General features: G+C 41.2%; 1 protein-coding gene across 5 annotated transcripts in view; it reads right to left on the reverse strand.

Annotated features, from left to right (window-relative positions):
- Nucleotides 1-16,742, reverse strand: part of SPMIP2 (sperm microtubule inner protein 2) — a 189,752-nt gene that overhangs the window by 74,455 nt on the left and 98,555 nt on the right. For all 5 annotated transcript variants that reach the window (XM_011531671.3, XM_011531672.4, XM_047449676.1 and 2 more), the window contains one exon: nucleotides 5,491-5,723. In XM_011531671.3, coding sequence (XP_011529973.1) covers nucleotides 5,491-5,723 — 233 coding nt within the window. The remainder of the gene's footprint in view (nucleotides 1-5,490; nucleotides 5,724-16,742) is intronic.

Genomic DNA, 16,742 nt, shown 5'->3' on the forward strand with positions numbered 1-16,742 from the left:
TTATTATGTTTCTAAAATTGTCTATACTGATAACATCTGGAGATTAGGAATTTTAATGAGACTCAAAACTGGTGGCTATTTTTATGATTGCTCTAGATGAACCCCAAGGTAAATGAGAATTTGGGGATAAAAAATGCAGAAATTCTGAAATATGTATTTTGGTGGTCTACAGACTTATCAACTCCATGCTGGCAATACATTTTTCCCAGATGAATCTGAAAACACAGGACACTGTTGTATAGGAGTTTAGAAGAACGCATAGAGTTAGTGCAAGGAAAGAGGGTTTGGCTTGGTGAGAACTCACTCTCTTACTTTTTTCCCCATAATGCCAATGATTATATTTTATATGTTTTGAAAGGCAATAAAGTGCTTACAAAATACAAATTCAAAAACTACTATCAAGCGATTTCTTATGTCAAATATGTGGGTAGTATCATCTCTACTATTATTTATTTATTTTTGAGAAGGTCTCACTCTGTCACCCAGGCTGGAACGCAGTGGCGCGATCTTAGCTCACTGCAACCTCCACTTCCCGGGTTCAAGCAGTTCTCCTGTCTCAGCCTCCTGAGTAGCTGCAATTACAGGCGCCCATCACCACGTCCAGCTAATTTTTGAATTTTAATAGAGACAGGGTTTCACCATGGTGGCCAGGCTGGTCTTGAACTCTTCTCCTCAAATAATCCATCCTCCTCAGCCTCCCAAAGTGCTGGGATTACAGGCATGAGCCACCATGTCCGGCCTCAACTATTTATTTTGATATTATAAATGAATTATATTGCGTGCAAATGATGCAAAGTGGGATGCTAGGAGACAATTGATGGAACCATGAAGAAAGGGATGCATACCTTATAAGATAAAGCAAGTAGGTTTGACCCCAGCCTGACCCTGCCTTAGAGAAAAATGATAACGCAACTGTGTACATTATAAAGTGGCTCCAATCTAATGTTCTGATCTCATTGTCTATCATTGCATTTCATACATCCTGTATTCCTCCGAGTCCTTGATTTCACACGGCCTGGGATGAAATCTTGGCTCTACTATTTACTAGCTGTGTGGCCTCAGGCAAGGAACCTCACCTGTTGATACCTCAGTTTCCTCAGCTGTAAAATCATCACAGTACCATTCTTATTAATAACAATCAATTGTAGCTCTTTTTGTGTTTACCTTCTCTAAATAAATTCATAGTGAGCAAAATGTCTAATAAGCCAATCTTATATCAGTTTATTCCATAGCCATCAAGAAATTCAAGATTTCATCAGAAGGCTGTTCAAATGTCCATAAAACCGTCACAAAGAAGCTCTATTTCATGACAGCGGAACTTGTGACAGTTAAAAATGAGGCAGAGATTTCAAAGCCTCAAAATTTTGGTTTTTATTACCTCATATTACATATAAATATGTTGATGAGTTCCCACGATTCTCCTTATTACCTCATATAGTTTTTAAAATATATAATATATTGGTTATAATATGATTAATTGATTTAATATTTTCTTTGGGGTCACACCCATGAAAAGTGAGTCATCATGTCCAGTGTAACATTGTTTCTGTGAGAAAACCAAATGACTTAAATCATTTTGTCACGAGGTCAGAGCACAGGTGCAGCAAATGGACATTAGGAAGCCAGGAGTCCCCATTGAGGTTGGGGTTAAAGAAAGGCCAGTGGAGAGGAGATACAACCAGCTAAGCAGCAGTTAGAAAAGTTCCTTAGTTTAGCACGGGATTGAAACTAAAGAAACTGTTTCAATTGTCTCCATATATTCTTGCAGAAACAACATATATAGTTTGATAAAGACCAAATCCATTTTTTTTTAAAGAATGTGCTGCTCTTAAATCCGAGATGATGAAAGTAATGGTCTGTCCTTGTTTATACATACATTTATTATTATTGCATTGTAACCCATGTAAGAGTCAGTAGGAAATAGCTAAACATTAAAAAATCTGGAAGAGGAACTCGATCTTGTGATTTTTACTGACCTCCGCAACGTGGGGGAAGATTTTCAGGTGTCACTCAGCATGGAAGTTATTATCTTCCTGCAAAAAGCCAGATGATCTGCAGAACCCCTCCTAGTGCCCCAAATAGGAGAAACCATTCCCAGGTAGGAGGCAGCTGCTCCAGGCATTTTACCAAGACTCTATTGGAGGTGCCTGAGCATCCTTAACCGCCAGTCTTATATAAACCTGGAGCAGTAAATTAGGCAGAACAGCTGTTAGAGCTATAAAAATCCAGGAGATGAAAGTTTTGCTTAAAATCCAAGCTCTGAGCAATTGCCATGTGAGACACTGAGGAGTCTCTGCAGTTAGACTAAAACAAGAAGTGACCATTTTGATTTGGATTATTATGGGACAAGGAAGAGCAAGGGATATGGAAAGGGTCTATAGACAGATAAGAAACTGGAGAACGAACAGGAAGTGGATTGAGACATTTCTCAAAGTGACACCACACTGAGAAGTTTACCAGTTCCCTTGTGAGGGCGGCCCTGGGTTAATGCCACCACTCTTGTATAGTCTTTGTAATTAGGAGCATGTTTGAATGCATGGAGTGTATGTGTATGTATCGGCTCAAGTGTCAATTCACGCACCAAGTCTGATTTTTTAGAAGTAGCTGCCTGAAGCACAGGGTTGATAAGGAATCAAAAGTCTGAGTCTACACTCCAAAAATGACACTGTGAGCTGGGCACGGTGGCTCACACCTGTAATCCCAGCACATTGGGAGGCCGAGGTGGGAGGATCACTTGAGCTCAGGAGTTTGAGACCAGCCTGGGCAACATAGACCTTGTCTCTACTAAAAAATTTTTTTAAATTATCTAGGTGTGGTGGCATGTGCCTGTAGTCTCAGCTACTCAGAAGGCCGAGGTAGGAGGATTGCTTGAGCCCAGGAGATGGAGGCTGCAGTGAGCTATGAGCATGCCACTGTACTCCAGCCTGGGGGACACAGTGAGACCTTGTCTCAAAAAAGAAAAACAAAAAAAAAAGATTTTGATCTGCCTTAGATGGAAAGAGAGAGCAGTATGCCTTAGATGTAGAGGGAGAGATGAGTAGACCCAGTGACAAAACCTAGATCTTAACTGTTAAGGAAATTATAGATGCTTCAGTGCTGGTATGTGTGGTCATTCTCAGTGAATCTTTTTTTTTTCCTATTCTAAAGCTCTAAGTCCAAGGAGCTTTAAGGTATTGTTCAAGATTGTTATCTGAGACAGCTAGACCCTTGAAAACAATTACTGTTAAAATACTGGGGCCAAGAAAGTGCACAGATGAGAAGCAACATTTCTTATAGTATATTCCAAGCAGTTTCTGAGCGTGCCACAGCTGGGGAAGAAAATCACTGTGTGATTGGTTCACTGTGAGATTGGTTCACAATCTCAGAGACAAAGAGGACCCCGTTACTCAGCAGTGCAGTGATTAAAAGCAATCCATGAAATACTAACTAGAGATACAGAATAAATACATTCCTGGAAGGCTAACTCACAGCTATCATCTCTTTTGGATTCCCAGCTTGCTTTGAAGACCAAGGAATGCTTGATTGCACTTCATTTGAGCAGAAAAATAGGTTAAGTTAAAGATAAAGAGGGAGAGAGGCTATACACACTCAAGATGGTCTGACAGATTGAGGGCTGTGTCCGAGAGCAGGACATCATCACCCAAGGAGAAACACCAAGACAACAAAAGTTCTGGACTTTATTCAACCCAGCCGCCTTGCTTTGGGGCTGGACTTTTCTTGCTGGTGGTTAGTTTGATATTTGATCAAATCTTGGATTTTCATTTTTATTGCCTAAGTGGAATAGGACACAGTTTAAGAACCTAAGCATTCATTATACTCAGCTTGTCACTCAGAAACTGGTCTTCTTTGGAATATGCTGTAAGAGACGTTGCTTATCATCAGTGCCTTTTCTTGGCCCTGGCATTTAAACATATTACAATACATTAAATATAATATCATACTAAATTTAATGAGTTACATGAAATACAACCACAACAGTACTAATAGCTAAAATCTGGATGTCAGCCTGGTGCCAGGATCGCGCTCAGTGCATTCCTTGGGTTCTCATATATAGTCCTCACAACATAACAATATGAAACGCATATAGGGCTTGATACATGCTAGTTACTGCTTCTAGTGCTTTACTAATATTAACTTATGCACTGTTTACAACAGCCTGTTACCTGAGCAAAGACAATGCAAAGGCCTGCCTAGAAAAAATATCCTAGAACTAAGATTTCATAATGAAGACACTGACGCACAGAGGCAAATGAACTTAACCAAGGCCATACACAGCTAGTAGGTGGCAGAACTAGGATAGAAATTTAGATGATCCTGTGAAGTGGGCCTCTGAATACTGCCATGTAGAAGAGGCGCAAACAAAGATGCAGAGAGGTGAACTGATTTGCCCAAGGTCACAGAGCTAGACCTAAATCAGAGTGTAACCTCAAAGACTGTGCTCCCATCCACCCTCCTGGACTGCCATAGTTTGGGCCAGAAAAAGGTTTTTCTGGCCGGGTGTGGTGGCTCACGCCTATAACCCCAGCACTTTGGGAGGCCGACGCAGGTGGATTACCTGAGGTCAGGAGTTCAAGACCAGCCTGGCCAGCATGGCGAAACCCCATCTCTACTAAAAATACAAAAATTAGCCGGGCCTGATGGCATGTGCCTGTAGTCCCAGCTACTTGGGAGGCTGAGGCAGGAGAATCGCTTGAACCCAGGAGGCCGAGGTTACAGCGAGTCAAGATCGTGCCACTGCACTCCAGCCTGGGCGGCAGAGTGAGACCCTGTCTCTAAATAAATAAATAATGGTTTTTCCTTTTGTTAACCTTTACCAGATGAAACTTAAGAATTTGAGGAAATTCAGTTATTGCATGATTGATACATTTAATTTTCAGACAATGCACAGGCCTGTCTGGAAAAAAATATCCAAATTCTCAGATTTTACTTCTAAAATCCCTTGTGCACTCTTCTGTTTCAGGGGAGACACCAGGATCTCATGCCTATGTCTACATCACCAAAAGGAAATAAGACAAGGTTTCTAAAACCCTCTGACAACATACCCTGAATTATTAATACTTGATACGAAGGCATTATCAGTACAGTGAATCTTAAAGATCTGAGATGCACGTGTTAGGTTTGTGGATTATGGGATGCCCAGCACAGGCTTCTTTCTTTCCATCGTCCACGCATGAAGCAGTGCTAGGATGGGGGAAGAGTGTGTGCAAGTGCCTCAGCCTGAATGTGAATCAGAATACATTCCAAAGACAAACACAAACGCTTTTGGATTATCCATGGCTTTGTTTTCCTCATACCCTTCCCTTGATGTATTAAAGGGCTCCAGGAGTGGAGCACATGCATTTATTCACACATGTGTCTTTCTGCAAAACTCAAACCTCATTATGTCTCAATGAGAAATCAAGCACCCGACATTTCCTTTGGAAGCAAATTCATAAAGAATTCAAGTTAGAAAACAGTATACTATGAAAAGCATAAATTTAAGAGCAATACCTTGATATGAAAGCCACTCCCCAGTCTTGATTTGTTGATAAAATTATACTGTGGTATTCTCCAACCAATTTCACTGACGTACTCATGTTTATATTTTGCTGGCAAGCTTCTATTTGAGGCAGGCCTCCATAAATATCTGAGATCTCCAGTTTTTTCTAACGCCAGATGCTGTTCTCCTACATAGGAGGTGTGCTGATGAATTTTGGGTAAATAATCCTTTATGTAGTCTGGACCTTTAAAAGACAAAATGTACTTAAAACTTCTCCACACTTTATTCTAAGATACTTTTGTTATTTTAACCGTTGAAATACTAATAGCCAATAATTATATGGTACTTACTACGTTCTAGGTTCTATTATAAGCCTTTTAGACATGTTAATTCTTATTAATACTTATTTATAATTAATAATTCTTATTAATGCTTATCTGTTAATTAATGTTTATTAATAACCAAATGAGACGGGTAGAATTTTTTTCCCCAGTTTATGTATGGGGAAAATGAAAGATTGGTTACTTGTCCAGAATTATAGCTAACAAGCTCTTTGTACCCAGACAGGCTGATGCGAAGGTTGGGCTCTTAATTGACCCATTAAACTGCTTTGTATATAATCAACTTAATACAGACATGGGCTGGATGTGGTGGTTTATGCCTGTAATCCCAGCACTTTGGGAGGCCAAGGTGGGTGCATCGCTTGAACTCAGGAATCTGAGACCAGCCTGGATAACTTCTGAGACCCTGTCTCTACAAAAAATAAAAATTAGCCAGGCATGGTGGCACACACCTGTGGTCCCAGCTATTTGGGAGATGGAGGTAAGAGGATTGCTTAAGCCCAGGAGGTGGAGGCTGCAGTGAGCTATGACTGTGCCACTGCACTCCAGCTTGGGCAATAGAGCAAGGCCACCTCAAAAAAAAAAAAAAAAAAAAAAAGACATGATATATACTAAAATTTATCCCATGCTACATTTGCAGGATGTAGGCCTTCAGATATTGAGGTGTTTTATCTAGGTAGATAAAAATCTGAAATGTGTATTAGAATACTCCGAAAATGTATTAGCAAAAATTGAAAAATGGAGAAAATTGTTAGATGAGGGTAGCTTATAACAGATTACCAAAGGCAGAAGTATTTGTATTTTAAAAGTAAAACAATGAACAAAAAAAAAAATCAATGAATTATAGAAATAGGTGAAAAAAGCAGAAACAAGAGAAGGTCTGGGTAAAGATCACTTAAATGAATTTTTTATTATGATACTTTAAGTTCTGGGATACATGTGCAGAACGTGCAGATTTGTTACATAGGTATACATGTGCCATGATGGTTTGCTGCACCCATCAACCCGTCATCTACATTAGGTATTTCTCCCAATGCTATCCATCCCCTTGCCCCCCACCCGCAACAGGCCCCCTTGTGTAATATTCCCCTCCCTGTGCCCATATGTTCTCATTGTTTAACTCCCACTTATGAGGGAGGACATGCAGTGTTTGGCTTTCTGTTCCTGAGTTACTTTGCTGAGAATGACTGTTTCCAGCTTCATTCATGTCCCTCCAAAGGATATGAACTCATTCTTTTTTATGGCTGCATAGTTATTGCATGGTATATATGTGCCACAATTTGTTTATTCAGTAAAACATTGATGGGCATTTGGGTTGGTTCCAAGTCTTTGCTACTGTGAATAGTGCTGCAAAAAACATACGTGTGCATGTGTCTTTATAGTAGAATGATTTATAATTCTTTGGGTATATACCCAGTAATGGAATTGCTGGGTCAAATGGTATTTCCAGTTCTAGATCCTTGAGGAATCGCCACACTGTCTTCCACAATACTTGAGCTAATTTACACTCCCATCAACAGTATAAAAGCATTCCTATTTCTCAACATCCTCTCCAGCATGTTGTTTACTGACTTTTTAATAATCGCCATTCTAACTGGTGTGATATGGTATCTTACTGTGGTTTTGATTTTCATTTCTCTAATGACCAGTGATGATGAGCTTTTATTCATATGTTTGTTGGTCACATATATGTCTTCTTTTGAAAAGTATCTGTTCATATCCTTCGCCCACTTTTTGATGGGGTTGTTTTTTTCTTGTGACTTTAAGTTCCTTGCAGCATCTTGATATTAGCACTTTCAGATGGATAGATTGCAAAAATTTTCTCCCGTTCTGTAGGTTGCCTGTTCACTCTGATGATAGTTTTTTTTTGCTGTATAGAAACTGTTTAGTTTAATTAGATCCCATTTGTGAATTGTGGCTTTTGTTACCATTGCTTTTGGTGTTTTAGTCATGAAATATTTGCCCATGCCTATGTCCTGAATGGTATTGCCTAGGTTTTCTTCTAGGGTTTTTATGGTTTTAGGTCTTACATTTAAGTCTTTAATCCATCTTGAGTTAATTTTTGTAAAAGGTGTAAGGAAGGGGTCCAGTTTCAGTTTTCTGCATATGGCTAGCCAGTTTTCCTAACACCATTTATTAAATAGGGAATCCTTTCCCCATTGCTTGTTTTTGTCAGGTCTGTCAAAGATCAGATGGTTGTAGATGTGTGGTGTTATTTCTGAGGCCTCTGTTCTGTACCATTGGTCTACATATCTATTTTGATACCAGTACCATACTATTTTGGTTATGTAGCCTTGTACTATAGTTTGAAGTCAGGTAGTGTAATGTCTCCAGCTTTGTTCTTTTTGCTTAGGATGGTCTTGGCTATGTGGGCTCTGTTTTGGTTCCAAATGAAATTTAAAGTAGTTTTTTTCTAGTTCTGTTAAGAAAGTCAATGGTAGCTTGATGGGGATAGTATTGAATGTATAAATTACTTTGGGCAGTACGGCCATTTTCATGATATTGATTCTTGTTATCCATGAGCACGGAATGTTTTTCCATTTGCTTGTGTCCTCTCTTATTTCCTCGAACAGTGGTTTGTAGTTCTCCTTGAGGAGGTCCTTCACAGCTCTTGTAAGCTGTATTCCTATGTATTTTATTCTCTTTGTAGCAATTGTGACTGGGAGTTCACTCATGATTTGGCTATTATTGGTTTATAGAAATACTTGTGATTTTTGCACACTGATTTTATATCCTGAGACTTTGCCAAAGTTGCTTATCAGCTTAAGGAGATTTTGGGCTGAGACAATGGGGTTTTCTAATTATATAATCATGTCATCTGCAAAGAGAGATAATTTGACTTCCTCTCTTCCTATTTGAATACATTTATTTCTTTCTCTTGCCTGATTGACCTGGCCAGAACTTCCAATACTATGTTGAACAGGAGTGGTGAGAGAGGGCATCCTTGTCTTGTGCCGGTTTTCAAAGGGAATCATTCCAGCATTTGGCCATTCATTATGATATTGGCTGTGGGTTTTTCATAAATAGCTCTTATTATTTTGAATACGTTTCATCAATACCTAGTCTACTGAGTGGTTTTAGCATGAAGGGGGGTTGAATTTTATGGAAGGCCTTTTCTGCATCTATTGAGATAATCATGTTGTTTTTGTCATTGGTTCTGTTTATGTGATGGATTACGTTTATTGATTTGCATATGTTGAATCACCCTTGCATTCCAGGGATGAAGCCAACTGGATCAGGATGGATAAGCATTTTTTTTTTTTTTTTTTTTTTTTGAGACAGAGTCTCGCTCTGTCACCAGGCTGGAGTGCAGTGGCATCTCAGCTCAATGTAACCTCCATTTCCCAGGTTCAAGCAATTCTCCCATCTCAGCTTCTCAAGTAGCTGGGACTACAGGCACACACCACCACGCCCAGCTAATTTTTCTATTTTTAGTAGAGACGGGGTTTCACCATGTTGGCCACGATGGTCTCAATCTCTTGACCTTGTGATCCACCTGCCTCAGCCTCCCAAAGTGCTGGGATTACAGGCATGAGCCACCGCACCTAGCCAGATAAGCTTTTTAATGTGCTGCTGGATTCAGTTTGCCAGTATTTTATTGAAGATTTTTGCACTGATGTTCATCAGGGATATTGGCCTGAAATTTTCTTTTTTTGTTGTGTCTCTGCCAGGTTTTGGTATCAGAATGATGCTGGCCTCATAAAATGAGTTAAGGAGGAGTCCCTCTTTTTCTATTGTTTGGAATAGTTTCAGAAGGAATGGTACCAGCTCCACTTTGCACCCCCCTGGTAGAATTCGGCTGTGAATCTGTCTGGTCCTGGACTTTTGGTTGGTAGGCTATTAATTACTACCTCAATTTCAGAACTTGTTATTGGTCTGTTCAGGGATTCAACTTCTTCCTGGTTTAGTTTGGGAGGGGGTATGTGTCCAGGAATTTATGCATTTCTTCTGGATTTTCTACTTTATTTGCATAGAGGTGTTTACAGTATTCTCTGATAGTAGTTTGTATTTCTGTGGGATCAGTGGTGATCTCCCCTTTATCATTTTCTGTTGCATCTATTTGAATATTCTCTCCTTTCTTCTTTATTAGTCTGGCTAGAGGTCTATCTACTGTGTTGATATTTTCAAAAAATCAGCTCCTGGATTCATTGATTTTTTGAAGGGTTTTTTGTGTCTCTATCTCCTTCAGTTCTTTTTTTTTTTTTTTTTTTTTTTTTTCTCTTTGAGACGGAGTCTCGCTCTGTCAGCCAGGCTGGAGAGCAGTGGCACAATCTCGGCTCACTGCAAGCTCTGCCTCCCGGGTTCACGCCATTCTCCTGCCTCAGCCTCCGGAGTAGCTGGGACCACAGGCGCCCGCCACCACGCCCAGCTAATTTTTTGTATTTTTAGTAGAGACGGGGTTTCACTGTGTTAGCCAGGATGGTCTCGATCTCCTGACCTCGTGATCTGCGCACCTCTGCCTCCCAGTGCTGGGATTACAGGTGTGAGCCACAGCACCCAGCCTATCTCCTTCAATTTTACTCTGATCTTAGTTATTTCTTGTCTTCTGCTAGCTTTTGAATTTGTTTGCTCTTGTTTCTCTAGCTCTTTTAATTGTGATGTTAGGGTGTTGTTTTAGAATTTTCTCACTTTCTCCTGTGGGCATTTACTGCTATAAGTTTCCCTCTAAACACTGCTTTACCTGTGTCCCAGAGATTCTGGGAAGTTGTGTCTTTGTTTTCATTGGTTTCAAAGAACTTATTTATTTCTGCCTTCATTTCGTTATTTACCCAGTAGTCATTCAGGAGCAGGTTGTTCAGTTTCCAGGTAGTTGTGCGGTTTTGAGTGAGTTTCTTAATCCTGAGTTCTAAGCTGATTGCACTGTGGTCTGAGAGACTGTTATGATTTCTGATCTTTTGCATTTGCTGAGGAGTGTTTTACTTCCAATTATGTGATCAATTTTAGAAATAGTGCTATGTGGTGCTGAGAAGAATGTACATTCTATTAATTTGGGGTGGAGAGTTCTGTAGATGTCTATTAGGTCTGCTTCATCCAGAGCTGAATTCAAGTCCTGCATATCCTTGTTAATTTTCTGTCTTGTTGATTTGTCTAATATTAACGGTGGGGTGTTAGACTCTAACACAATAATAGTGGAAGACTTTACATCTCTTTGTAAGGTGTCTAAGAACTTGCTTTATGAATCTGGGTGCTCCTGTACTGAGTGCATATATATTTAAGATATTTAGCTCTTTTTATTGCATTGATCCCTTTACCACTTTGTAATGCCCTTCTTTGTCTTTTTTGATCCTTGTTGGTTTAAAGTCTGTTTTATCAGAGAGTAGGATTGCAAACCCTGCTTTTTTTTTGCTTTCCACTTACTTTGTAAATATTCCTCCATCCCTTTATTTTGAGCCTATGTGTGTCTTTGCACATGAGATGGGCCTCTTGAATACAGCACACCGATGAGTCTTGACTCTTCATCCAATTTTGCCACTCTGTACTGAGTGCTGTGCTGGGAGATCCATTGCTCTCTTCAGAGCCAACAGGCAGGAATGTTTAAGTCTGCTGAAGCTGTGCCCACAGCCGCCCCTTCCCCCAGGTGCTCTGTCCCAGGGAGATAGGAGTTTTATCTATAAGCCCCTGACTGGGGGTGCTGCCTTTCTTTTAGAGGCACCCTGCCCAGAGAAGAGGAATCTAGAGAGGCAGTCTGGCTAAAGTGGCTTTGCCGAGCTGAGGTGGGCTCCGGAGACTTTGTTCACACTGTGAGGGGAAAACCACCTACTCACGCCTCAGTAATGGCAGACACCCCTACCCCGCCACCAAGCTTGAGCCTCCCAGGTCGGTTTCAGACTGCAGTGCTGGCAGCGAGAATTTCAAGCCAGTGGATCTTAGCTTGCTGGGCTCCATGGGGGTGGGATCCGATGAGCCAGACCACTTGGCTCCCTGGCTTCAGCCTCCTCTCCAGGGGAGTGAATGGTTCTCTCATGGGCATTCCAGGCACCACTGGGGTACGAAAAACAAAAAGAAACTCCTGAGGAAGGCTGGCAAGATGGCTGAGTAGAAACAGCTCTGGTCTGAAGCTCCCAGCAAGATCAACACAGAAGGTGGGTGATTTCTGCATTTCCAACTGAGGTACCCGGCTCATCTCACTGGAACTGGTTAGATAGTGGGTGCATCCCACAGAGGGCAATGGGTCAGGGAACTCCCTTCCCTAGCCAAGGGAAGCCACGTGGGACTGTGCCATGAGGAACAGTGACCACTGGCCCATATACTATGATTTTCCCAAGGTCTTCACAACCCACAGATCAGGAGATTCCCTCAGGTGCCTACACCACCAGGGCCCTGTGTTTCAAGCACAAAACTGGGTGGCTGTTTGGGAAGCCACTGAGCTAGTTGCAAGAGTTTTTTTTTTTTTTTTTTTTTTTTTCATACCCCAGTGGCACCTGGAATGCCAGTGAGACAGAACTGTTCACTCCTCTGGAAAGGGGGCTGAAGCCAGGGAACCAAGTGATCTAGCTCAGCGGATCCCCTCCCCACAGAACCCAGCAAGCTAAGATCCACTGGTTTGAAATTCTTGCTGTCGGCACGGCAGTCTGAAACCGACCTGGGACGCTCAAGCTTGGTTTGGTGGGGAGGGGTATCCACCATTGCTGAGTCTTGAGTAGGTGGTTTTCCCCTCACAGTGTAAACAAAGCTTCTGGGAATTTCGAACTGAGCAGCACCCTCCACAGCTCAGCAAAGCCACTGTGGCCAGACTGCCTCTCTAGATTCCTCTTCTCTGGGCAAGGCATCTCTGAACAAAAGGCAGCAGCCCCAGTCAGGGGGTTATAGATAAATTCTCCTCTCCCTGGGACAGAGCATATGGGGGAAGGGGCAGCTGTGGGTGCAACTTCAGCAGACTTAAACATCCCTGCCTGCCGGCTCTGAAGAGAGCAGTGGATCTCCCAGCACAGCATTCGAGCTCTGCTAAAGGTCAAACTGCCTCCTCAACTGGGTCCCTGACCCCCATGTCTCCTGACTGGGAGATACCTCCCAACAGGTGTTGACAGACACCTTGTAGAGGAGAGCCCTGGCTGGCATCTGGCGGGTGCCCCTCTGGGACAAAGCTTACAGAGGAAGGAACAGGCAGCAATCTTTGCTGTTCTGCAGCCTTCGCTGGTGATATCCAGGCAAACAGGGTCTGGAGTGGACCTCCAACAAATTAGCAGACCCGCAGCAGAGAGGCCTGACTGTTACAAGCAAAACTAACAAACAGAAATAGCATCAACATCAACACATCAACAAAAAGGACATCCACTCAGAAGCCCCATTTGAAGGTCACCAACATCAAAGAACAAAGGTAAATAAATCCACATAGATGAGGAGAAACCACCGCAAAAAGACTGAAAATTCCAAAAACCAGAATGCCTCTTCTCTTTCAAAGGATCACAACTCCTTGCCAGCGAGGGAACAAAACTGGACGGAGAATGAGTTTGATGAACTGACAAAAGTAGGCCTCAAAGGGTGAGTAATAACAAACTCCTCCTAGCTAAAGGAGCATGTTCTAACAGAATGCAAGGAAGAACCTTGAAAAAAGGTTAGAGGAATTGCTAACTAGAATAACCAGTTTAGAGAAGAACATAGATGACCTGATGGAGCTGAAAAACATAGCATGAGAACTCTGTGAAGCATACACAAGTATCAATAGCCGAATCGATAAAGCAGAAGAAAGGATATCAGAGATTGAAGATCAACTGAATGAAATAAAGCATGAAGACAAGATTAGAGAAAAAAGAATGAAAAGGAAGGAACAAAGCCTCCAAGAAATATGAGACTATGTGAAAAGACCAAACCTATGTTTGCTTGGTGTACCTGAAAGTGACAGGGAGAATGGAACCAAGTTGGAAAACACTCTTCAGGATATTACCCAAACGAACTTCCCCAAACTAGCAAGACAGGCCAACATTCAAATTCAGGAAATACAGAGAACACCATAAAGATACTCCTTGAGAAGAGCAACCCCAAGACACATAATCATCAGAGTCACCAAAGTTGAAATGAAGGAAAAAATGTTAAGGGCAGCCAGAGAGAAAGGTTGGGTTGGCCACAAAGGGATGCCCATCAGACTCACAGTGGATCTCTCTGCAGAAACCCTACAAACCAGAAGAGAATAGGGGCCAATATTCAACATTCTTAAAGAAAAGAATTTTCAACCCAGAATTTCATATCTAGCCAAACTAAGCTTTGTAAGTGAAGGAGAAATAAAATCCTTTGCAGACAAGCAAATGCTGAGGGATTTTGTCACCACCAGGCCTGCCTTACAAGAGCTCCTGAAGGAAGCACTAAACATGGAGGGGAACAACTGGTATCAGCCACTGCAAAAACATACCAAATTGTAAAGACCATCAACACTATGAAGAAACTGCATCAACTAATGGGCAAAAAAAAAAAAAAAAAAAAAAAAAAAGAGCTAGCATAATAGAGACAGGATCAAATTCACACATAACAATATTAACCTTAAATGTAAATGGGTTAAATGCCCCAATTAAAAGACACAAGACTGGAAAGCTGGATAAAGAGTCAAGACTCATCAGTGTGCTGTATTCAGGAGACCCACCACATGTGCAAAGACACAAATAGGCTCAAAATAAAGGGATGGAGGAATATTTACAAAGTGGAAACCAAAAAAAAGCAGGGGTTGCAATCCTACTCTCTGATAAAGCAGACTTTAAACCAACAAAGATCAAAAAAGACAAAGAAGAGCATTACAAAATGGTAAAGGGATCAATGCAATAAGAAGAGCTAAATATCTTAAATATATATGCACTCAATACAGGAGCACCCAGATTCATAAAGCAAGTTCTTAGACACCTTACAAAGAGATGTAAAGTCTCCCACTATTATTGTGTTAGAGTCTAACACCCCACCATTAATATTAGACAGATCAACAGGACAGAAAATTAACAAGGATATTCAGGACTTGAACTCGGCTCTGGACGAAGCAGACCTAACAGACATCCACAGAACTCTCCACCCCAAATCAATAGAATATACATTCTTCTCAGCACCACATAGCACTATTTCTAAAATTGATCACATAATTGGAAGTAAAACACTCCTCAGCAAATGCAAAAGAACAGAAACATAACAAACAGTCTCTCAGACCACAGTGCAATCAACTTAGAACTCAGGATTAAGAAACTCACTCAAAACCGCACAACTACCTGGAAACTGAACAATCTGCTCCTGAATGACTACTGGGTAAATAACGAAATGAAGGCAGAAATAAACAAGTTCTTTGAAACCAATGAGAACAAAGACACAACTTCCCAGAATCTCTGGGACACAGGTAAAGCAGTGTTTAGAGGGAAATTTATAGAGTAAATGTCCACAGGAGAAAGCAGGAGAGATCCAAATTGACACCCTAGAACAAAGCTGGACGGAGAATGACTTTGACAAGTTGAGAGAAGAAGGCTTCAGACGATCAAACTATTCCGAGCTACAGGAGGAAATTCAAACCAAAGGCAAAGAAGTTAAAAACCTTGAAAAAAATTTAGATGAATGTATAACTAAAATAACCAATACAGAGAAGTGCTTAAAGGAGCTGACGGAGCTGAAAGCCAAGGCTCGAGAACTATGTGAAGAATGCAGAAGCCTCAGGAGCCGATGCGATCAACTGGAAGAAAGGGTATCAGTGATGGAAGATGAAATGAATGAAATGAAGCGAGAAGGGAAGTTTAGAGAGAAAAGAATAAAAGGAGACGAACAAAGCCTCCAAGAAATATGGGACTATGTGAAAAGACCAAATCTATGTCTGATTGGTGTACCTGAAAATGACAGGGAGAATGGAACCAAGTTGGAAAACACTCTGCAGGATATTATCCAGGAGAACTTCCCCAATCTAGCAAGGCAGGCCAACATTCAGATTCAGGAAATACAGAGAACGCCACAGAGATACTCCTTGAGAAGAGCAACTCCAAGACACATAATTGTCAGATTCACCAAAGTTGAAATGAAGGAAAAAATGTTAAGGGCAGCCAGAGAGAAAGGTCGGGTTACCCACAAAGGGAAGCCCATCAGGCTAACAGCGGATCTCTCGGCAGAAACTCTGCAAGCCAGAAGAGACTGGGGGCCAATATTCAATATTCTTAAAGAATTTTCAACCCAGAATTTCATATCCAGCCAAACTAAGCTTCATAAGTGAAGGAGAAATAAAATCCTTTACAGACAAGCAAATGCTGAGCACCAGGCCTGCCCTAAAAGAGCTCCTGAAGAAAGCACTAAACATGGAAATGAACAACTGGTACCAGCCACTGCAAAATCATGCCAAAATGTAAAGACCATCGAGACTAGGAAGAAACTGCATCAACTAACGAGCAAAATAACCAGCTAACATCATAATGACAGGACCAAACACACACATAACAATATTAACTTTAAATGTAAATGGACTAAATGCTCCAATTAAAAGACACAGACTGGCAAATTGGATAAAGAGTCAAGACCCATCAGTGTGCTGTATTCAGGAAACCCATCTCACATGCAGAGACACATATAGGCTCAAAATAAAAGGATGGAGGAAGATCTACCAAGCAAATGGAAAACAAAAAAAGGCAGGGGTTGCAATCCTAGTCTCTGATAAAACAGACTTTAAACCAACAAAGATCAAAAGAGACAAAGAAGGCCATTACATAATGGTAAAGGGATCAATTCAACAAGAAGAGCTATCTATCCTAAATATATATGCACCCAATACAGGAGCACCCAGATTCATAAAGCAAGTCCTGAGTGACCTACAAAGAGACTTAGACTCCCACACAATAATAATGGGAGACTTTAACACCCCACTGTCAACATTAGACAGAAAGTTAACAAGGATACCCAGGAATTGAACTCAGCTCTGCACCAAGCGGACCTAATAGACATCTACAGAACTCTCCACCCCAAATCCACAGAATATACAT

This window comes from Homo sapiens, chromosome 4 (genome assembly GCF_000001405.40).
Source record: "Homo sapiens chromosome 4, GRCh38.p14 Primary Assembly".
In the NCBI taxonomy this organism is placed as follows: domain Eukaryota; kingdom Metazoa; phylum Chordata; class Mammalia; order Primates; family Hominidae; genus Homo; species Homo sapiens.